This window comes from Homo sapiens, chromosome 17 (genome assembly GCF_000001405.40).
Source record: "Homo sapiens chromosome 17, GRCh38.p14 Primary Assembly".
Taxonomy (NCBI): domain Eukaryota; kingdom Metazoa; phylum Chordata; class Mammalia; order Primates; family Hominidae; genus Homo; species Homo sapiens.
Window position 1 is genome coordinate 80741300 of NC_000017.11, and position 23552 is coordinate 80764851.

Consider the following 23552-nt stretch of genomic DNA (forward strand, 5'->3'; position numbering starts at 1 on the left):
GTGCTGGTGTGGGGGCCCTCCAGGTGGAGGGCAGTGCAGGAGGCCATGGCAGGCAGTGGCAGTGCTTGGACTAAGGTGGTAGATGTTGGCAAGGCAATTGTTTGCATCTGGGGTTCGTTGTGAAGGAAGAGTGATTCGCTCTGGATCAGATGGAGGACTTAGGCAAAAGGAGTTAAAGGCAACACCAGTGTTTTGGCCTGGGTGGAATGGAGCAGCTGTCTCCCGAGCCAGGAGGACCATGAGGCTGGAGGGTGGATGGAGGTCTTGGGGTGCAGGACACAAGAGCTCTGCTCAGGCAATGTGGGGTGTGGGGTCCTATCAGAGATGTTTGTTCAGCATCTCCTGTAAATTAGGAAGGGTGACAGGGCATACAGCAGCACGCAAGTGGACAAACCCTGGCTCTACTTTCCTGAGAATGCATCAGAAGGTGGTCGGTGTCATCCTAGAACAGACAATGGCTGAAGCCACGGGATGGTGACGAGCCCCCATGTGGTTCGTGTGGCTGGAGAGGAGAGGCCAGTCGAGGCCTGCGTTCGGTGGTGTGTGTAGAGTCTGGGAAAAGGAGAGGCACTGACAGACCAGACCAGAGAAGTAGCCAGGCAGTTGGAGGGTAACCAGGCACTCGTGGCATCAGGAAGTCAGGAAAAGCCTCAGGAAAGCCTTCTAGAAGTAGGGACAGTTAGCTGATTGCTGTGCTGTTGAGCGGCTCACACGAGGAGGACTGAGGATGGACCGTTGTATTTGTGCACACGGGGCCATTGCTGGATTTAACAAAAGCAGTGTCAACGCAGGGTGGTGGGCTCTCATGTGATTCTAAACTGTTCAAGAGAGGGTGGGCGATGCCATGTGGAAGCTCCTGAGGGAGGTTTGTTTTCGTCACATGGACATTATGAGAGCATGTGTTTGTGCTAATGGGAGTAACCTGGCAGAGAGGGAAAAGCTGATGTGTGGGAGGGAGAGAGAGCTCCTGAGGGCGGCCCTTAAGTAGGTGTGAAGGGAACAGGATCCATTACACAAGGGGAGGAGCTGGCTGGAGGCGGAGCATCGACGGTGGTCATTCCAGAAGGGGATGGCAGCACATGCATGCAGAGGCCAGGTTTGGAGGAAGGATGCAGACGCACAGCACAATCAAGTTTAGGAGGAGCAGGTACACACACACACACACGTATATAAGCACATGCACATACAGACATGTACACATACACATGCACATAGACAACACATGCACACATGTACACGTATACTCACCTACATTTACATACATGTATGCACACACATAGACATATATGCATATAGACATGCATAGATGCCACACACATACACACGCACATATACATACATGTCCACACATATAAACACATGCACATACACATACAGCCATATACACAGAGACACACATAGACACCATAGACACACCCACACACATACACATGCATGTGCGCACACATACATGCACATATAGACACGCACATGTATACATGTGCATACACACATGCACACGCCTATATACACATATATACATGCCCACCTATACATACATAAACATACACATATACATGTGCACACAGAAACATGGACATATACACACATGCACACATACACACAGGTACATGCTCATACATGCACATCTACACACTCACCTATACACACACACACACACAGCTTTTGGTGCCATGCCGCAGCACATTCCTAGTGCTTCACATATGTTCCTTTCTAATTGGTGTTTGTTTTAGAAGGTGGAGTGAGTACACGTGTCTGGATCCAGCCTTATTAGATTGTCTTTGCGCACTGGGAATAACACCCACTTTATGCTCAGCTCTTACTAGTGTCTCCAGCTTTCCCTCTCCTCCTTGTTAACAGAATTGGAACCCTTCCTGTCTTCCCGTCTCTCTCCTGAAATTAGCCAAGGCTCTCTCTCTTATGACTCAGTTCATTAGAGAAGTAAGCAGAAACACAGCAGCTGATGATGAACAAAATGTTTCCGGGGGTGAAGGCACCCATCTGGCAGGGGGCAGGGCGCTCTTGCAGGTTCCGCCGTGCAGAGAAGAAGCCACAAGGACCGAGGGAGGCCTGAAGGAGATGTCTAACCTGAGCCGTAGAACGTAAGAAGTTGCCAGCATAAAGACAGGTAGGAAAGGCATGTCAGTGACAGAGGCAGGAGAACACGTGACCCACTTGTGTGGGGAGCTCCAGCAGCGCGTTCGGAGTGCTGGGCATTGCCAGGTCTGAAAGAGGTCATCAGTTCTTGGGAAAGGTGCCTGCGTGGGCTAGAAATCATGGAACAAATCATAAAGCCAAGTAGTAATTTAAACCCAGATGCTACTTTAATTAACTCACTTTGCTACTTTGCCCTCGGCAGCAAGGGTTGAGGGCACAGCCCTGGCTACTAGCACAGCCCTGGCTACTAGCACTGTCCTGGCTACGAGCACAGCCCTGGCTACTAGCAGAGCCCTGGCTACTAGCACTCTCCTGGTTACTAGCAGAGCCCTGGCTACTAGCACAGCCCTGGCTACTAGCAGAGCCCTGGCTACTAGCACAGCCCTGGTTACTAGCAGAGCCCTGGCTACTAGCACAGCCCTGGCTACTAGCACTGTCCTGGTTACGAGCACAGCCCTGGTTACTAGCAGAGCCCTGGTTACTAGCACAGCCCTGGCTACTAGCACAGCCCTGGCTACTAGCACTGTCCTGGTTATGAGCACAGCCCTGGTTACTAGCACAGCCCTGGTTACTAGCACAGCCCTGGTTACTAGCACAGCCCTGGCTACTAGCACTGTCCTGGTTACGAGCACAGCCCTGGTTACTAGCACAGCCCTGGTTACTAGCACAGCCCTGGCTACTAGCACTATCCTGGTTACTAGCACAGCCCTGGTTACTAGCACTATCCTGGCTACTAGCACAGCCCTGGTTACTAGCACTGTCCTGGCTACTAGCACAGCCCTGGTTACTAGCACTGTCCTGGCTACTAGCACAGCCCTGGTTACTAGCACTGTCCTGGCTACTAGCACAGCCCTGGTTACTAGCACAGCCCTGGCTACTAGCACAGCCCTGGCTACTAGCACTGTCCTGGTTACGAGCACAGCCCTGGTTACGAGCACTGTCCTGGCTACTAGCACAGCCCTGGCTACTAGCACAGCCCTGGCTACTAGCACTGTCCTGGTTACTAGCACAGCCCTGGTTACTAGCACAGCCCTGGCTACTAGCACTGTCCTGGTTACGAGCACAGCCCTGGCTACTAGCACAGCCCTGGCTACTAGCACTGTCCTGGTTACGAGCACAGCCCTGGCTACTAGCACTGTCCTGGTTACTAGCACAGCCCTGGTTACTAGCAGAGCCCTGGCTACTAGCACTCTCCTGGTTACGAGCACAGCCCTGGCTACTAGCACAGCCCTGGCTACTAGCACTGTCCTGGCTACTAGCACTGTCCTGGCTACTAGCACTGTCCTGGCTACTAGCACTGTCCTGGCTACTAGCACTGTCCTGGCTACTAGCACAGCCCTGGCTACTAGCACTGTCCTGGCTACTAGCACAGCCCTGGTTACTAGCACTGTCCTGGCTACTAGCACTGTCCTGGTTACGAGCACAGCCCTGGCTACTAGCACTGTCCTGGCTACTAGCACAGCCCTGGTTACTAGCAGAGCCCTGGTTACTAGCAGAGCCCTGGCTTCTAGCAGAGCCCTGGTTACTAGCACAGCCTTGGTTACTAGCACAGTCCTGGCTACTAGACACCTCTGCTAGAGACTGCCCAAAGAATATGCCATGAGTTAGCTCTTTCTCCCCCTCCTGCCACTGGTCAGCTAAGCCTTCCCCCTAAAAATCACTTTTTGATATAGAGGGTGAAGAATTTCCAGTATCTCCTTTAGTTGACTGTGAGAGAAATTAGTGTAATTTCTAATTGACCATCTTCACAGAGTTGTAGAATGATCACAGAGCATTTAGAAGCTGTGGGTTGCTAATAGCTAAATGGCTTTGAAATAATGAATGCTTCATTTGGGGGAACTCGGGGTAACTGTGACAAACCGTTGTTATGAAGGGGCTTTAGCTAGCCTTGGAAGGGCAGGCTGGAGGCTTCTGCACGTCCTTGGAAGTCTCCATCCACCAGAAGGAGCTCCTTCTGCTCTCTCAGCCTGGATGTGATAGTTGCCAGCAATAGGCGCAACTTGGTTTTTAAATTAAAATCTAATATTTGATATACATAATTCTATCAACAATATATTAAAAATATGATTTCTGCTTTGCATCTGCTCTTTTTGGTACACTGTGTGTCACATGATAGATGCCACATTAATATCTTTGACTATTAATAGAGTTGGATAAGTAATACACTGACTCCTTTAGCAGCCTCAGCCTTTCTTTGAACTTTGCAAACATGGCCATTGTAATTAGGTGTTGTTGAATTGAGAATAAAAGTTACTTTAAGGCAGAGCTAAAAGTGTTACCGAGGAGATGCTATTTTCAGAAATTACTTGGTAAAGACTCCTCTGGAGTTGTTAGTACCGTATCTCATTATAAAGATGCCTCTTATATGTATTTGAGAAGGGAAAGAAGGAGCCCAGTGTTGACGTTTTATTTAGAAAATGTGAGGCCGGGCGCGGTGGCTCACGCCTGTAATCCCAGCACTTTGGGAGGCCAAGGCGGGTGGATCACCTGAGGTTGGGAGTTTGAGACTAGCCTGGCCAACATTGGTGAAACCCAGTCTCTACTAAAAATATAAAATTATCCAGACGTGGTGGCGCATACCTGTAATCCCAGCTACTTGAGAGGCTGAGGCGGGAGAATCGCTTGAACCCAGGAGGTGGAGGTTGCAGTGAGCTGAGATGGTGCCATTGCCCTCCAGCCTGGGTGACAAGAGCAAACCTCCATCTCAAAAAAAAAAAAAAAAGTGCAGTGCAGGTGATCCCCACCGCCCCCACAGCGGTGCTTTCTGCGGGTGATCCCCACCGCCCCCACAGCGGTGCTTTCTGCGGGTGATCCCCACCGCCCCCACAGCGGTGCTTTCTGCGGGTGATCCCCACCGCCCCCACAGCGGTGCTTTCTGCGGGTGATCCCCACCGCCCCCACAGCGGTGCTTTCTGCAGGGAGCGGACGGCAGGCCTGGGGCGTGCTGCCCGCTTACCTCATGAACTGCGCGTGCACTGACTCCACATTACCCACACGTGGGAACAATGCAGCAGATGTCTTTTTTGGATCCGGTTGCTGTGTATCGCATCGCAAGACTTTTCTGGATCCTTCCCAAATCCTCCAGAAGACTCTGGAGAGCATTGGAAGATGAGAGTCTTTCTTGTGTTTGAGTCCCTAGGCTCCCCGGAGAAACCCCTTTGGGTGCACGCTCACCTTAGGCTTGCTGTTTGGGAAAACCATGGCTCTGGGCTGGAATTGGTCACTTTTAGGCCTGGGCACTGTTCACAAGCTTGGCCAATCACAAGCACTCAGCCTTACACGCAGGCCTGTTTCTGAAAGATAGTTTCAATTACGGGGTCAATATCTTAGGTAGATGCAAAACCAAAACAGTGTATAGGAAATAACTCATCTGTTGAAATAGTTTTTTTTTTTCCCTTGGGTTAGCAATCCTGAAGAACGTTCATTGGCAGAACCCTTTGGCTTGAATGTCAGGATGTTTTTTAAAAATGCTAGGTTCTGGGTGGGTGCGGTGGGTCAGGCCTGTAACCCCAGAACTTCGGGAGGCCGAGGCAGGCAGCTCACTTGAGGTCAGGAATTCGAGACCAGCCTGGCCAACACGGTGAAACCCTGTCTCTACTAAAATACAAAAATTCGCTGGGTGTGGTGGCACTCGCCTGTGATCCCAGCTACTCAGGAGGCTGAGGGAGGTGAATCGCTTGAACCTGGAGGTGGAGGTTGCAGTGAGCCAAGATTGCGCCACTGCACGCCAGCCTAGGCGACAAAGCAAGACTCCCTCTCAAAAACAAAAACAAAACAAAACAAAACCTGTTGGTTCTAATACCCCTAAAGCAAAGAGCTCTCCTGTGTACTCGTCCATGCACCCAGTAGTGTGGTGGGAAAGAAGGAATTCAGCATGCTTCCTCCTGGGCCTGGCAGACAGGTACCAGGTGAGTGGAGCACTGTCATTGCCTGTCACTTGCTGTTGGAACCTCTGCAGCCAGAGGGCATGTCTTCTTGTCTATACATCAACGTACTTTGGGGGGCTTCTTAAATAGGTGGGGTTTCTGTCAATGATCACACTGAATGGGGAAATGAAGTTTCTAGTAGGCATATTTGGGATAAAGCTCTTTCTACATCTACCTGTCCGACTGCTCCCTCGGCAACCACAGAATGCTTCCAGTGTCCAGTGTGCTCCAGGAGGCATTGGGCCAAGCGCCCGTGCATCTCAGGGTGCAGGCTGAGATAGGCACGGCAGATGCAAACCCAGCAGCGTCTGGACCACGGGAGCTTTGTCTCTCCACCGGACAAGACACAGACTTCTTGGTCCCTAAGGAAGTCCCCTTCAAACCTGCTGAGTTCTCATGTGGCTCCTGTACACTGGAGACTCGCCCCACCACCCCATGCCATCCTATGTTCTAGTGCTGACTTGGAAGAAAGGTGGGTTGGTATGAAAAGTGTTAGATTTCAGAAGCTTGGCACAAATGGTTGGCAGCGATGGAGGGACTGCAGTGTTTAGAGGCCATGGTGGGAGGACCTGTTGGATGGAGGGACTGCAGTGTTTGGAGGCCGTGGCGGGAGGACCTGTTGGGTGGATGGAGGGACTGCGGTGTGTGTTTAGAGGCCGTGGCGGGAGGACCTGTTGGGTGGATGGAGGGACTGCGGTGTGTGTTTAGAGGCCGTGGCGGGAGGACCTGTTGGGTGGATGGAGGGACTGCGGTGTGTGTTTAGAGGCCGTGGCGTGAGGACCTGTTGGGTGGATGGAGGGGCTGCGGTGTGTGTTTGGAGGCCGTGGCGGGAGGGCCTGTTGGGTGGATGGAGGGGCTGCGGTGTGTGTTTGGAGGCCGTGGCGGGAGGGCCTGTTGGGTGGATGGGGGGGCTGCGGTGTGTGTTTGGAGGCCGTGGCGGGAGGGCCTGTTGGGTGGATGGGGGGGCTGCGGTGTGTGTTTGGAGGCCGTGGCGGGAGGGCCTGTTGGGTGGATGGGGGGGCTGCGGTGTGTGTTTGGAGGCCGTGGCGGGAGGGCCTGTTGGGTGGATGGGGGGGCTGCGGTGTGTGTTTGGAAGCCTTGGCGGGAGGGCCTGTTGGATGGAGGGACTGCGGTGTGTGTTTAGAGGCCATGGCGGGAGGACCTGTTGGGTGGATGGAGGGGCTGCGGTGTGTGTTTGGAGGCCGTGGCGGGAGGACCTGTTGGATGGAGGGACTGTGGTGTGTGTTTAGAGGCCGTGGCGAGAGGACCTGTTGGGTGGATGGAGGGACTGCGGTGTGTGTTTAGAGGCTGTGGCGGGAGGACCTGTTGGGTGGATGGAGGGGCTGCGGTGTGTGTTTGGAGGCCGTGGCGGGAGGACCTGTTGGGTGGATGGAGGGGCTGCGGTGTGTGTTTAGAGGCCGTGGCGGGAGGACCTGTTGGGTGGATGGAGGGGCTGCGGTGTGTGTTTGGAGGCCGTGGCGGGAGGACCTGTTGGGTGGATGGAGGGGCTGCGGTGTGTGTTTGGAGGCCGTGGCGGGAGGGCCTGTTGGGTGGATGGAGGGGCTGCGGTGTGTGTTTGGAGGCCGTGGCGGGAGGGCCTGTTGGGTGGATGGAGGGGCTGCGGTGTGTGTTTGGAGGCCGTGGCGGGAGGACCTGTTGGATGGAGGGACTGCGGTGTGTGTTTAGAGGCCGTGGCAAGAGGACCTGTTGGGTGGATGGAGGGGCTGCGGTGTGTGTTTGGAGGCCGTGGCGGGAGGGCCTGTTGGGTGGATGGAGGGGCTGCGGTGTGTGTTTGGAGGCCGTGGCGGGAGGACCTGTTGGATGGAGGGACTGCGGTGTGAGTTTAGAGGCCGTGGCAGGAGGACCTGTTGGGTGGATGGAGGGGCTGCGGTGTGTGTTTGGAGGCTGTGGCGGGAGGGCCTGTTGGGTGGATGGAGGGGCTGCGGTGTGTGTTTGGAGGCCGTGGCGGGAGGACCTGTTGGATGGAGGGACTGCGGTGTGTGTTTAGACGCCGTGGCGGGAGGACCTGTTGGGTGGATGGAGGGGCTGCGGGGTGTGTTTAGAGGCCGTGGCGGGAGGACCTGTTGGGTGGATGGAGGGGCTGCGGTGTGTGTTTGGAGGCCGTGGCGGGAGGACCTGTTGGGTGGATGGAGGGGCTGCGGTGTGTGTTTGGAGGCTGTGGCGGGAGGACCTGTTGGGTGGATGGAGGGGCTGCGGTGTGTGTTTGGAGGCTGTGGCGGGAGAGCCTGCTGCTCAGTTCTCAGGACTGGTTAGAAAGTAAATTTAACGTAGGAGCAACTTAACAAAAAGAAAAGCTTTTCATTTTGGGGGCTTTTTTTGTTTGTCTTTAGAGATGGCTTTGCTCTGTCACCCAGGCTGGAGTGCAGTGGTGCCACCACAGCTCACTGCCACCTTGAACTCCTGAGCCCAAGGGATCCTCCCACCTCGGCCTCCTGAGTAGCTGGGACTGCAGGCATGCACCACTACACCAGGCTGATTTTAAACAACTTTTTGTAGAGACAGGGGTCTTGCCATATTGCCCAGGCTGGTCTCAAACTCCAGAGCTCAAGCAATCCTCACACCTCAGCCTCTTGAGAAGCCAGGACTACAGGCATGCACCACCACACCTGGCTAATTAAAAAAAAATTTTGGAGTGATGGGGTCTTTCCATCTTGCCCAGGCTGATCTTGAACTCCTGGGTTCAAGTGATCCTCCCACCTCAGCCTCCCAAAGTGCTGGTATTACAGATGTGAGCCACCACACCTGGTTATATAAAAAGAAAACCTAAAACTAGTAAACCACACTGATATTTTTTGCTATATTTCTGCTATATACATGTCCTTTTGAAAAGGAAAATAGGAATATTGAACTTAGTTTTTGCGTAAAGGGCCATTTCCTCCCACTTAAAGTTGTTTCCTTTTTAATCCTCTGCCAGCCATTCTTACGTGGCCAGTGGTAGTGGTGCTGATTAAAATAACACAAGTCTGCCAGCAGTCCCAGACAGACATCGCAAATGGCGCCTTCCACAGTTCAGGACTGTGTGCTTCACTCCACGGAGGTCTGCCTCAGATGCCTCCCTCCCAGCCCCTTTCCGGAGGCCAGGGAGAGTGCGTTTCCACCAAGCGCAGGAGTCAGCACTTCCTCATAGCCTTCCCGTGCCCTCCCAGCACCAGGCACACATGGCCGCTCCCACCTATCCCATCCACCTGTTGTGACGCGGGTCTGAGTAGCTGCAGGTCCACGTCGTTCCTGGACCCATCATCTGGCTTAGTGGGCCTGTCACAGCAGACCTGGAAACTAATTTTCTGTGTACAGCAGGTTGCATTGCCGATGCTATTTTAGCTTATGGAGCCCAGAGCCCAGGAAATGGTTTTAAACATGATTTTGCCTTCCCTCTTCCCTCTTGTTTAAAAAAACCCACTCCTTGGTGGTTCTTGGTGATTGTTGCGTGGCATGTAAATATCCCTAATGTCACCGAACTGTACATTTGAAACAGTTAACATGGCAAATTTTATGCTACAGGTAATTTATCATCATAAAAAAAACCTCATTCCTCTAGAAATTGCAGTTTTTATTGAAAAAGTTAAATTATATTTATTATTAAGTATATGAGAATTTGATTTGTACTCTGGGTTTAATGTTCCTGTGGTAGAATGGGTTATTAATAAAACTAGCAGTCATTAGTACCTTCCAGCTGAGAAATTTGAGATGTTAAAAACAAAGTTTGTCAGAGTCAGATGACAGTGCGTTCTGTACCATCACCGTGGTGCGAGGTGGCTGTGAGTGAATACAGCTCTGTGTGTATTTCATTCCGAAAGCACTGGGCGTGCTGTCTGGAGAGGGCTCGGCAGCTTTCGTGTTGGCGTCGTAGGTGCTTGGTGGAGATTCAGAAGGACCCAGATGGGATAATGGGGCAAAAGCAGCCCTAAAATCAGGGGCAGTGCCCGGCACTCTGGACGCATGTGCTGGCCCAGCTGCAGGGCAGTCCGTGTCATCTTTGGGGACTCTGTGTCCTCGTCGTCACAGCTCTTTTAACATGGAGCTGAAACCTCATGGGGTTGGTAAAAAGCAGATGAAATAGTATATGTGAAGAGCCGTGAGAAATACTAAGAACTACGCAACTAAAAGTAAGGAGCAAGGAAGGAGCAAAAATGCAGACACAGACACATTCTCTCCCCGTCAAGCCGGGGAGCGCATCGCAGCCCTCGGTGATTAAAAGCCACACACTCTGGACACATCTCACCCCCACCCATATTCATCGTCACTTACAATATTCATTTACAATAGCGCCTCCTCTTCATGGAGGCCTGCCACAGTCTGAGTAAACAAAAGTGATCTTGTCCCTGTGGTATTCACAAAACAAGCCCTAGGAATTGTGTAAGTCACAAACAGCGTCCAGGCCCTGGATCTGGGACGACCAGTCTCTGTCATGCGATGCTCCAGCCCTCATGCTGACCGCTTGGTCCACGACCCCGCATTAGCAGGTGGCGCTCTCAGTCTGAAGCCTCATTCTGTACCTTGTTGTTCCACATCCCCAGCCTAGATGGGCAGATGAGGTTGGCCCCTACAGCAGAATGCTTTCCATTACAGCCGAATTATAGGTATTTGTAGACACGTGAATGAAGGAGTTCTGCAAGCTGTGTGGCCCGGTATGATCGGCATTTTTGGGGTTTTCTGTTTTCATTCCTTTAGCTATCTACATGACATGCCCAGGCATCACATTTCAGGGTAACTGAAGAGAAGGCAATGCAGATTCCATCTCACAGCCTGTGGTGTGTTCTTCTTGTTTTGTCTGTTCCCTGTCTCTTTCTGTCCCTTTGTTTCCTGCTACCCTTTCCCCTCTCCCCTCTCCCCACAACAAAGGACCAGCCTTGATGATAGTGCAGGAGGGACTTTGCAAGCCAAGCTCTCCCAGGGCCCATGGGGCCTCCCTTCCAGCAGGTGGGCCCTGCATGCAGCCCACAGTGTCTGAGGACTCTGCATCCCCGGAAGGGAGGCATTGCTTGTGCGCAGCTGCTGTGCCTCCCCCAGCTGAAAGCATTCTGTTTGGTGGAACTGGTTCTGATATTTTCCAGCTCTTCTCAATTATTTCCAGGAGCAGGCAGAGCAGTGTGTGTACATAATCCCTCATGTGTTATACTTATTAAATTTTACTGGCCAAAATGCCAGGAATTCTTGTGAACTTCATTATTTCTGAAAACGACAGCAAAACCTCTTGTGGATTACCGAAATGGCCACATGCAGGCAACGTAGGTAGCCAGGGAAAGGAATCACAATCTCAGTGCTAGTATAATTAGTCCTTGGTGGTATAAGGATCCTGTTTTGTTGAATGCTGTGGTTTTTTGGTAAAACAGGAACCCACCTGGTATCCATGGCAGGGTATAGCAAACTCGTGTATCAGACAGTCCTGTCATTTTTTAAACCTTTGAATGTAATGCATTATTTAAAAAGAAGGAAGAGTTACACTTTCAGTTAGATTTCATTTGGTAAAAAGTGAAATTTTCTGTGCATTTTAGTAGTAAACAACAATTCACTTAGTGCCTTTCTTCCTAAAATGGCACTGTGATATCAGCTTCACATATGATACTTTTACGTGACAAGTCTCATTGAAATAAATACCAACCGGCATTACTATCCCTACTTTAAAGAGAGATTAAATTTTGAATTCAAAAACACCTCACCTTTCTCCCTGATTACAAAATTAATGCACATTTGTTTGTAGAACATTTAGAGAAATCCGATGAAGATGGGAGGAGATAAAATCCCCCTAATCCCCCACTCGGGGATGAGTGCTCGCTCTGTCTGTTTTTCAGTCTCTTTTGATGGGTCGCTTTAGTCAGCCCACTCAAACTCACATTTTGTGGTTTGCCTTTGTGTTGGTGATGGAGTTCACATCATATAACCTGAACGTCTTCCCATGTCATTAAACACAACAAAATAAGGTTAGGATAGATTAAGATTGAACGTTTAGGCCGGGCGCGGTGGCTCACGCCTGTAATCCCAGCACTTTGGGAGGCCGAGACGGGCGGATCACGAGGTCAGGAGATCGAGACCATCCTGGCTAACACGGTGAAACCCCGTCTCTACTAAAAATACAAAAATTAGCCGGGCATGGTGGCGTGCGCCTGTAGTCCCAGCTACTCGGGAGGCTGAGGCAGGAGAATGGCGTGAACCCGGGAGGCGGAGCTTGCAGTGAGTCGAGATCGCGCCACTGCACTCCAGCCTGGGCGACAGAGCGAAACTCCGTCTCAAAAAAAAAAAAAAAAAAAAGATTGAACGTTTAAAACAAACCGTAAGACACCATGAAAGACCTGGTGGACAGTGATACAATCCTGGGGTAAGTAGGGTCCTGCAAAGAGGAAAACCGGGAAGAAAACAGAGTTGACAGAGACACAACCAGGCTGTGCCATCAGAAGGGCCTTGGGAATGAGACGGCCAGGTTTCCAGGCTTACAGTCTGTCTCTGGAGACAGTTCAGCAGCGACGCCTCTCTCCAGAGGACTTTCCAGTGAAAACTCACAGCCTGAGTTGATTTATTCTTTCCTTCTGTGTTACAGCTGCAGCTTACTATTTGGTTGTGACCAGCAGCTAAATCACACTCTCTTTTCCCGAATGTTCTGCCCTTCAGGTAGCTGCAATCAACCCAAATCACCCTCTTGCTCAGATGCCTTTGCCTCCGTCGATGAAAAACTGCATCCAGCTGGCAGCCTGCGAGGCCACCGAGCTGCTGCCCATGATCCCCGACCTCCCGGCTGACCTATTCACCTCCTGCCTCACCACCCCCATCAAGATCGCCCTGCGCTGGTGAGTGGCCCCTGCTGTGCCCCTGGGACCCACTCAACTGGGCTCTCCCGCAGGGACCCCAACCCATGTGGGCCCCAGGCATTCACCTGGTCCCAGGAGCCCACGTGACAGACATGAGTGTCCCCGCCTTCTTTTTGTGTCATTCGGGATTCCAGGTGGAGGTTTGGGTTCTACTCTTTGAGAGCTCAAGATCCTTCTTCCTTCTGATCTGTTCGTGGGCAGCTCACTGCTTTGCGATTTCCAAGAACACCCTCTCCTTACCTTTGTTCACTGCGGAGGCGTCTTAGTACCAGGATAGGTCATACTGGAAACTGGACTTTCTTTCAGGGGAAGAAAAGGCTGTTATGAAAAAGGAAGTCATTTAATTCCTTGCTTGAGTTGAAGCGTAATCTTTCAATGTATTTTTAGCAATGAAAAAAGAGCCATGATTTTTCTGTCTCCATCCTTTTTAAGTTATAGCCGTCGGGAACATAACTGAAGAAATGTGTGTGATATTCCAAGATGGTAGAAGCCGCATTTCAGCCCCAACATCCCCAGCAGAACGCACAGTGGGATATGTGTGTTTCCTGCCTCCAAATCCAATATTCTCCCCTAGACCATCTTGCCAGTCTTTAATATCTCCTTTCCCATTTTATGTTTTGCTGAAAAGCTTATATGTCGTGGCTGTTACCGGCTAGTAGATAAATACCTCTCCCTTGAGGTGCCGTGCGAATGGTGCAGCTGTGCAGCAGACACCGTGCTGTCGGCCGAGGACACTCTTGAGGCTTCTGTCAAGATGGCCTAACACTCTAGACAAGTCTCCTGCCTTCTCACCCACAGCCCTGGGCGGACACGGGGAGCTAACAGCACAGCAAAGTAAGGGCCCCCAGGGACACCCTGGGAGGGGCCAGAGGGGCAGGGCAGCCTGAGGGGGGAGGAAAACTTGGCCTTCCTGCTCTGCCTCTGCAGCCAAGTCCAAATTGATCCCAGACCCCAGGGCTGGGGGTTCATGATGTTGGGGTGACTGCAGCGCAGCCCTCACATTAACTGTCCCTAGGCCTCCCCACCAAACTTGAGGGCTACAGGTTTCCATTCAGGGAGAGACCTCCTTTTAGTGTTACTCACCCCAAAATAGTTGGAGATGAAGGGAAGAGGGCTGGGTGTGGTAGCTCACACCTGTAATCCTAGCACTTTAGGAGGCTGAGGCAGGAGGATCCCTTGAGCGCGGGAGTTTTGAGACCAGCCTGGGCAACATAGGGAGACCTTGTCTCTAAAAAGAAAATAGAAAAATAGCAAGTGCAGTGGCTCATGCCTGTAACCCTAATGCTTTGGGAAGGTGAGGCAGGCAGATTGCTTGAGGCCAGGAGTTCGAGACTAGCCTGGCCAACATGGCGAAACCCTGTCTATACTAAAAATACAAAAAAATTAGCTGGATGTGGTAGCACATGCCTATATTCCCAGCCACTTAGGAGGCTGAGGTACTAGAATTGCTCGAACCTGGGAGGCAGAGGTTGCAGTGAGCCAAGATTGTGCCAGTGTACTCCAGCCTGGGTGACGGAGCAAGACCCTGTCTCAAAAAAAAAAAAAAAAAAAAGAAACAAAAAAAGAGGGGAGAGGAGCTGTCTGGAGGGGGCAGCAGAGAGGGATCTGCAGTGTTTCTGCTGTCCAGCCAGTACCCCCACCTTACCTGGCTGATGCAGACTTAGCCTGAAAGGGCCACTGTCCTCTGCACCCAGCGGAGCAGAGCTCACTTGGCAAAACTAGACACCTGAGTAGCACAGCCACTACGCAGAGAGAAAGCTGAACCAGGGTTATTGTAAAACAAGTGTAATACATACAATCAAAGAAATAAAGGAAGACACCTGTAACAAGATGTGAGAACAATGCTACAGTTTTAATGCCTTCCCCCAAATGTATGTGCTGGAAACTTAATCCCCCACGCAACAGTGTTGGGAGGTGATTGCATCATGAGGGCTCTGCCCTCACATTTAGGTTAATGTCACTGTCACAGGGGTAGGTTAGTTATGTGAGAGCAGGTTGTGATAAAAGCAAGCCCAGCCCCTTGTGTTATCTTGCCCTTCCACCTTCTGCCATGGGATGGCACAGCAAGAAGGTCCTTGCCAGATGCCACTCTTTGACCTTGGACCTCCCAGTCTCCAGAACTGTAAGAAAGAAGTTTCTTTACTTAGATGAAGAGAAGCTGCTTGAAAAGTCCAAGAATACAGTTAAGTAGGAGGAATAAGTTATAGTATTCCATAGTAGAGTAGGGAGATTACGGTTAACAGAAATAATTTATTGGATATTTCAAAATAGCTTGGAGAGAAGAATTGTAATGGCCCCAACACAAAAGATAGAAGGTGGAGTGAGATGGTGGAATAGAAGCCTCCACCAGTCTTCCTGCAGCAAGGATACCAATGTAACAACTATCAGCACACACAGAAAGCACCTTCATACGAACCAAAAATTAGGTGAGCGCTCATAGTACCCAGTTTAGCTTCATGTTGCTGAAAGAGGCACTGAGAGGTAGAAAAAACAGTCTTGAAAAGATAAATGTTTGAGGTGATGTATGAGTTGGATAGATCCCAGTTACCCTGATTTGATCATTACGCATTGTATGCACGGATCAAAATATCACATGGAGCCCCAAAATACATACAACTATCATATATCAATTTAAAGAATACAAAAAAAATTTGTTATAAATTACTCAGTCTGTCGTAGTCTATTATAGCAACACAAAACAGACAGACAGACAAGAAAAAGTACTATAAAAGAAGAACAAAGCAGAAATAGGGGTAGGTGCACTGTAATGTTTGAAATAAAGAACACAGTAGACAGGACCCATAGCAGGAGAGACACTGCTGGAGCCAAATGAATGGCCTGGAAGACTACAGTGGGGGCTCACAGGAGGCCATGGGAAAGGGTCGAGATGGGAAACAGAAAAGCCAGGAGATGCAGAGAAGGGAAATAGAGGCCCCAGTATGCAGACTGGGGGCATCCCGTGTTGAGAGAACAAGAATATGGCAGAGCTGAAAATACCTGAAGATCTCGGAAATGCACTCCCCAAAATTGGGAAAGCTGGAAGCCCTCCAACTGAGAGGGCTTGTGCCAACCAGAAATTAATGGGAGACCTCCGACCTCAGCACATCCAGTGAGGCGGAAGACCCTCTTGAGGGCACCTTCCCTGACGCCACGTTGTTTCTGAACTGCTCTCCATCCTTGTTTGTTTGCTCTGTAATGTCGAAGTCCTTTCTGAACGCAGATCTCTTTTCACGTACCAGTTTATGAGGCACACGTTACAGTGTGCCTACCTCTATTTCTGCTTGTTTCTCCTTTCGCATTACTTTCTCTTGTTTGTCTTAATCTGTTTTGGGTTACTATAACAGAATACAACAGACTGGGTAATTTAAAATGACAATTTTTTGTATTCTGTAAATTGATATATCATAGTTGTCCATATTTGGGGGGTCCATGCAATATTTTGATACCTGTATACGATGCATTAATGATCAAATTGGGGTAACTGGGATATCCATCACCTGAAACATTTATCTTTTCTTTTTAAGACTGCTGAAGAGACGGTCTTTTGGGGCCTCTGTTTCTCTTCTCTGCATCTCCTGGCTTTTCTGTTTCCCACCTCTGTCCTTTCCCACGGCCTCCTATGCGCCCCTCATTGTAGTCTTCCAGGATATTGTAGGGCTTCAGCAGCCTCTCACCTTTATGAGTGTTCTTTTTAACTCTCTGTACTGTATGTCTGATCCCTGTCCAAAGAGGCTTATGAGTGCCCATTTCACGTTACCCCAGGAAGAGATTGGTCCACCTGACTCAGGAGTTCATCCATTCATTGCCCAAAAACTAATTTATTCAGTCCCGACTGTGTATGTAATAAGACCCATGCTAATCACTATAGGAGATCCTAAGAAGCATATTGCCCTCAACAAATGTCTCCTCTGGTTGAGGAGATAAGATGTGGCTTGAAAATTCATGATTTCAATGGATGCTTCATGCAAGATGAAAATCTGAACCCTTCAAGGCAATGTGTGATCAAAGACCAAGTGACCTTATGGCACCAAGGGCTGTTGTGTTCCCAGAGGACAGAGAACCATGGCTAAGGGCCACAGGGTTTGAGAAAGCTGCTTGGAGGAGGTGGAACCTGAGAGGAAGGTTTCGTCAGGAGTGCGGTTGAGCTCAGAGAGTGGACTGAAGTCCAAGTCCATTGTGGGGTGCTTTGAATGCTGCCCAGAGGACCTTGACTTCTCCTGGGACTCTGGCACAAGAGAGCCCCTGAAGCTGTTTGGGTAGAAAAATGACTTCATCAGAACCGTGTTTTAGAAAGAGGATCCAAGTGATGATAGGGAGACCTTGGTGACCATTAGGCCATTATCATATCAGTGCGGTCTTGAGCTGGTAAAAGATTAGGGCAGAAAGATAGAAAATCACCCAGGGGCCTGTAGGCTGGAGCTTCTGTAGACGCACAGTGGACACTGCCGAGAAACAGGCCTCATTTCTCCCATGTTCCCGTCCCCGCTCCCGGTTTCCTGCATGACTGCTTTGGTGCCCCCTGACTCCAGAATCAACACCACACCAGCTCTGCCTTTAGACTCTGCCCAGAGGCTCTGGGCTGGATACTGTATTTGGTGCGACCCTCTGGGGCATTTTTGCAAGTTTTCAGGCAGATGGGTGGGGGAGCAGTGAAGGAAGGAGGAAAAAAGACAAAGCACAAGGGGAACCGGAAATGACATCGCTACCTTCCTGTGCCTTCCCTGCCGCCCCACTCCAGCTACCTGTCACTAAACCCAGTGCACTTCATCTAGTTGACGGGTTTCTCTCAGGCATTTTGTTTTTCTGCCATGAGTGGGAAGGACTTGGCTTCCCTCCGCGCACAGCTGTGCACTCCCAAAGACGCCTGGGCCAGATGTGGCAGTGCGTCCTGTAGTCCCAGCTGCTTGGAAGGCCGAGGCAGGAGGATCACTTGAGCCCAGAAGTTTGAGACCAGCCCTGGGAACACAGGGAAACCCCATCTGTAAAAAAAAGTAAAATAAAGAAGTATGCTTTCACTCTGAGGGCTGCTGGCCTCGTTATTTCTAAAATGGGTGCCTGCCCTCTGAGTAGGGAATGTGCTTTCTCTCTACCAAGGCATGATGTGTCATCCCAGTAGCCCCTGAAATCCTTGTAGGAGTTAGGACATAGTCAGATTTTTAAAAGTAAGCATTTAGTAGGAAGTGCAGTGAAAAACAAACTGATACAGTTACCATAAGAGGGACTTTGAAATCAATATGCCACAGTGGCAGACAGTGGTCATCAGATAACCACTGCCTGGAACAATTGAGCGGTGTCTCAGGTGGCGGCTCTTTTACAATAAACTGCTTTCTCCCATATTGAAGTGCTGAAATTAGGTTGAACATGACATTTTGCTAGGTGTCTATGGCCTGTGAGTGGTAATGGACTATATTCATTAAAGAATTATCAAGTGAAATGTGTAGTTTTGTGTGAGCTAAGTTAAAAACCACCAGGGTTTTTTTTTTTAATGGAAGAGTGAGATAGTTTGTCAGACAGTAATTACGTATGTTTTTAGGGTTTTAGTTTTATTTTTTCATTTTGAAAAGTCAATTTTTCTAATTAAAAATGAAAGATACATTCTTTTCAGAAAATTACTAAAAAGTTAAAAGTAGAAAAAAATCATCCAAGATTTTACCATCTAAGGACAACTAGTGTTCACTTTTTGATGTATTGCCTGTTGGTCTTTTTTCTGTGCATGTACATTTTGCACTGATGTAAGTGGACAGAATTTACGATTTCATATCCTTAACCCTTCGCATTATACTAGAGTTCCCTGCCCTAGATCATTAGAGACTCTTAGTAAGTATCATTTTATATTTCACTATGTTGAAGTTCCATGTTTTATTTAGCCGGAGCGTAGGGCTTTGGGATTTAGGCGCCAGGAGTATGCGGGTGGGAAGGTTCAGCCTGGCACTCTGATGGGAGTCGGCAGACCTGGTTCTGTGAAGGGGCAGACGCACTTGGGTTAGGCTTTTCGGGCCACACAGTCCCAAGTCTGCTGTTGCAGCACGAAAGAGCCACAGGCAATATATAAACAAATGAGCATGGCTGTGTTCCAGTCGAGCTTTCTTTTTTCTTTTTTCTTTTTTTTTTTTTTGAGACCGAGTCTCACTGTTGCCCAGGCTGGAGTGCAGTGGCGTGATCTCGGCTCACTGCAACCTCCACCTCCTCGGTTCAAGCGATTCTCCTGCCTCAGCCTCCCGAGTAGCTGGGATTACAGGTGCCCACCACCACGCCTGGCTAATTTTTGTATTTTTAGTAGAGATGAGATTTTACCATGTTGGCCAGGCTGGCATCAAACTCCTGACCTCAGGTGATCCGCCCGCCTCAGCCTTCCAAAGTGCTGAGATTACAGGCACGAGCCACCGCACCCAGCCTCAGTCAAGCTTTCTTTAAGGAAACAGGCAGTTGGCCAGATTTGGCCCAGGAGCTATAGCTTGGCACTTCCTGCTCCAGAAAAGGGAACTAGGATTGGGCTGCAGATGACGGCTGTGCGTGTCTGCCGGTCTGCAGGTGACCTGGAGAAGGGCGATGCTCGGGAAGGTGGATTCCCTCCCTCCCTCCCTTTACTATGTAAATAAGAGAAACGGTTTCTAAGCACGCTGCCCTCATTATGCTGGCACAGCTGCTACAGAATGCGGTGTGCTGGGTAAACAACATACAGCTTTGCTTCATTTGGACAAAATGTGTACATGTGTACTTGGTGGCAAGCGTATTTATGAATCTTATTTGATGATGAACTTGTTGGAAGACATTGTTCTCTAATTTTTTTTCATTTTTGCCTGTCTTTTTCATTTTTGGAAACTGATTTCAATAATTCCAAAATGAGCAATGACATTACTTTCCACATAAATGATTATCTTACTCACCATATACATCAATACACTGTAAGAATCCAAAATATATTTTTTCCCTTGGCTGTTTTCTACTTCTTTGATTGAGTGGCATAATATCATTTTAGATTTATTACGCGTCTATTTGTATACTACTGAAAATTATAACCCAGTGGGACTTCATTTGCTGTGGGACTTGCTATAAAACAGATTGATGTCTATTGCACTGTGCTGCATGCACTAGTATTGTCTATTAATGAAAATGATAAACATTATTTTGGATTGAATAGAGGTCAAAAAACTTACTTCCTTTCTTTCAATTAAGTTGAAGGATTTCCAGGACTATAAATGTTAATGATAGAGCATTAACGTGTATTTGTCAGCGTGGAAAGTTTCGCTCCTGCATTGCCCGCAGGAGACGGAAGATGCATGGGTTTCCTGGCGCGCAGGTTGGGTGGAGGCTCAGCGTGGCTCTGTCTGGCCAGGCTAAGTGGTTTGCAGTGCCTGTCTCATTTCAGACATTTGCTGTGACATTTGCTTCGTATTTTTTCCTGATGACTCAACCAAGAATCATTCAGAATTACCTTTAGAAACATAAATTCTTGTGGTTTTGATGATAGAGTTAACCATGTGTTCTCCAAGGAGTCTTCTAAAATACATCTGCTTTGCCAGAGAACACACTTTCTTCTGCCCGTTCAGTGCTCTCGGGTCTTTTGCCGCTTCCTTTCAACAACAGTCCGATGACTTTGTCTTCCTGCATATGTGCGAAGGGAGAGGAGCTCACTGGTCCTCCCAGAGGGTGAAGTAACCGGGACACATTATTGAATAAAATGCTCTTTTGTAGTATCCCACTCTGTATCTTAGACCTTAGTCGTAGGCAAGTTTAATTTGGAATTTGCGTCTGGAGAAACGGCTTTATGACGTTTCCAAGTAGAGCCTCAGTATCATGGATCTCACACAGTCCCCGCGGCAGCTTCCAGGCCGTTTCCAGAGGAAAATATTTTTTCTCCCCAAACAAGACAGTGTTCTCTCACTGTTCCAGTCTCTTGACATATACTCAATTAAGATGAATATCATAATGTATTGTAATAGAGCTCCCGTTTTAAAAGATGACGTGTAAAAACCACCTGATGGATGCGGTAAGAAAGGGAATTGAAGCAGATGGAGGGGCACGGGCTGCTGACTCCCCGGCTGAACCCCGTCCTCGGGTGCTGCAGGAAAGAGTGAGATTGATGATCCTGGAGGGAGCCCACTCAGCAGCACAGCCGGAGACTTTGCTGGTCCCTTGAGATGGCTGAGTCCCCACTGGGGGCTGGGGTGAGGGGTGAGGCCGGAGGAGACAGTGGAGCTGGCGAGGGCCCCAGGGTGCAGGCAAGGCTGAGGGCACTCGGCTCTCCTCCCACTGCCCTTGATAGGCATGGCCTGCTGTGCTGTGTCTGGGGCTCAGAAAGATGGAAAATAAGAGGGTGGAAAGAAAGAGTTTGTCCTACCGCCCTTGTGAAAAGAGAAGTAATCCAATAATAAATAAAAGTGATAAAAGACAATTGGAAATATGAAGAAGAAACAGGAAGAAAGACCAGTTGGAAGCATTAAGTATAAAAAATATAATTGGTGAAATAATTGAAGAGATGGATTGAAAAGCAACATTATGGATAGAGCCAAGAATAAACCAGGAAGCTGAGAAGCTTGTTTGAGGAGTTCCCACCAAAGGGATGGAGCTAGAAGGAAGGGGAGAAACATGAGAGGCAGAGACAAAGTTTAAATATCTAGGAAATAACATTTTCTTCTCTCTAAAAAAAAACGTAGAAAAGGAGAAAAGACAGGCTTAGTAAATAGAAAGTGTGAGATACGATGGCTAAAATGTTTTGAAATAAAGTTGTAACTGTAAACGAATTGAATTCACCTCTCAAAGGGCCATGATTCTTGTGTTGGTTAAAATCATGATACAGCAGTCTCTTGTCCATGAGACACAGATTTAAAGCAAAACGTTTAAGCCTGGGCAAAACAGCACGACCCTGTCTCTACTAAAAATTTAAAAATTAGCTGGACATGGTGGCTTATGCCTGTGGTCTCAGTTCCTCGGGAGGCTGAGGCAGGAGGATCAGTTGAGCCCAGGAGTTCAAGGCTGCAGTGAGCTGTGATTGTGCCACTGCACTCCAGCCTGGGTGACAGGGTAAGACCCAGTCTCTAAAAAAAAATAATAATAATAAAAAATAAGAACATGTATTTCAAAGGTTGGAAATCAGAAGATGAAAAAGAGAAATACGAGCTAAAAGAAAGCTGGGGTGGCCAGTCCCAATATGACTTAAAGCAGAAGCTGAGATAAATTATTGAGAGGGGCAAAGAAAAATGTTGTATTGTGGTAAAACGAACAGGAAAGCAGGAAGGTATATACTGATGATGACTGTGTGCACCTGACAACGTGGCCTCGAACGAGATAAGATGGGAGCTGAAGTGTGGATGGAAGCAGATGAATGAGAAGTGTGCTTAGATACAGAGACACCAAGTACAGACAAAGGAAGCAACGTAAATACGACTTTTGTCACCGAATTAATTAGCCAGACCTCACAGAGGCACACAGGACCATACATCCAACAGGGAATGTGGACATATGTGGACCATTCACAAAAATAAATCATGCGCCCGACTACAAAGAAAGCTTTACTAATCCGGAAGAATCAGCATCGTGTGAACTCCGTGGCAGACCACACGCAATGAAGCTAGAACTCAGTAACGAAAGGACAGCTTTAACAAAAGTCTGAAAACTAAAATCTTAAAATCCTTGGATTAAAGAGGAAATATTTTATATTTTTTATTTTTTTTTACATGTACACACTTACACATTTATTTGACTTCATTGTAGAACTTTGACATTAATCCCAATAACTAATCTCTTTATACATATTGTTTCATCCTGACATCAACCTGAACAGGGAAAATTGACTTATATAAGCACATAGCTACTATAGATGTCTTTTTAGAAACTGATTATTGATATATAGCAGAGAAACCTAAAATCTCTTTAACTAACTTGAAGTCCTGACCGTATGACTTCTTTTGTTATTTTATTTTATTTTATTTTATTTTATTTTATTTTATTTTATTTTATTTTATTTTATTATTATACTTTTAAGTTTTAGGGTACATGTGCACAATGTGCAGGTTACATATGTATACATGTGACATGCTGGTGTGCTGCACCCATTAACTCGTCATTTAGCATTAGGTATATCTCCTAATGCTATCCCTCCCCCCTCCCCCCACCCCACAACAGGCCCAGAGTGTGATGTTCCCCTTCCTGTGTCCATGTGTTCTCATTGTTCAGTTCCCACCTATGAGTGAGAACATGCAGTGTTTGGTTTTTTGTCCTTGCAATAGTTTACTGAGAATGATGATTTCCAATTTCATCCATGTCCCTACAAAGGACATGAACTCATCATTTTTTATGGCCGCATAGTATTCCATGGTGTATATGTGCCACATTTTCTTAATCCAGTCTATCATTGTTGGACATTTGGGTTGGTTCCAAGTCTTTGCTATTGTGAATAGTGCCACAGTAAACATACGTGTGCATGTGTCTTTATAGCAGCATGATTTATAGTCCTTTGAGTATATACCCAGTAATGGGATGGCTGGGTCAAATGGTATTTCTAGTTCTAGATCCCTGAGGAATCGCCACACTGACTTCCACAATGGTTGAACTAGTTTACAGTCCCACCAACAGTGTAAAAGTGTTCCTGTTTCTCCACATCCTCTCCAGCACCTGTTGTTTCCTGACTTTTTAACGATTGCCA

The 23552-nt window shown here is 48.5% G+C and overlaps 1 protein-coding gene across 2 annotated transcripts in view, besides 5 other annotated features; it reads left to right on the plus strand.

Moving 5' to 3' along the window:
- Positions 1 to 23552, plus strand: part of RPTOR (regulatory associated protein of MTOR complex 1) — a 421531-nt gene that overhangs the window by 196462 nt on the left and 201517 nt on the right. For both annotated transcript variants that reach the window (NM_020761.3, NM_001163034.2), the window contains exon 6: positions 12711 to 12886. In NM_020761.3, the coding sequence (NP_065812.1) occupies positions 12711 to 12886 (176 nt within the window). The remainder of the gene's footprint in view (positions 1 to 12710; positions 12887 to 23552) is intronic.
- Positions 2315 to 2669: a silencer, noted in NCBI's record as "fragment chr17:78717414-78717768 (GRCh37/hg19 assembly coordinates)". NCBI's record gives its function as "represses an EF-1alpha promoter that drives an FKBP-Casp9 reporter gene in an ReSE screen in phorbol 12-myristate 13-acetate-treated (for megakaryocytic differentiation) K562 erythroleukemia cells {active_cell/tissue: K562(+PMA)}" and the evidence as "EXISTENCE:reporter gene assay evidence [ECO:0000049][PMID:32094911]".
- Positions 6992 to 7493: an enhancer, noted in NCBI's record as "H3K4me1 hESC enhancer chr17:78722091-78722592 (GRCh37/hg19 assembly coordinates)". NCBI's record gives its function as "activates a minimal SCP1, AML or CMV promoter by ChIP-STARR-seq in naive H9 embryonic stem cells {active_cell/tissue: H9 hESC(naive)}" and the evidence as "EXISTENCE:reporter gene assay evidence [ECO:0000049][PMID:30033119]".
- Positions 7494 to 7993: an enhancer, noted in NCBI's record as "H3K4me1 hESC enhancer chr17:78722593-78723092 (GRCh37/hg19 assembly coordinates)". NCBI's record gives its function as "activates a minimal SCP1, AML or CMV promoter by ChIP-STARR-seq in naive H9 embryonic stem cells {active_cell/tissue: H9 hESC(naive)}" and the evidence as "EXISTENCE:reporter gene assay evidence [ECO:0000049][PMID:30033119]".
- Positions 19735 to 20934: an enhancer, noted in NCBI's record as "CDK7 strongly-dependent group 2 enhancer chr17:78734834-78736033 (GRCh37/hg19 assembly coordinates)". NCBI's record gives its function as "activates an origin of replication core promoter dependent on BRD2, BRD4, P300/CBP, MED14 and CDK7 cofactors, with strong dependence on CDK7, by STARR-seq in HCT116 cells {active_cell/tissue: HCT116}" and the evidence as "EXISTENCE:reporter gene assay evidence [ECO:0000049][PMID:35650434]".
- Positions 20230 to 20279: an enhancer, noted in NCBI's record as "active region_12942". NCBI's record gives its function as "activates an Ori minimal core promoter by ATAC-STARR-seq in GM12878 lymphoblastoid cells {active_cell/tissue: GM12878}" and the evidence as "EXISTENCE:reporter gene assay evidence [ECO:0000049][PMID:35858748]".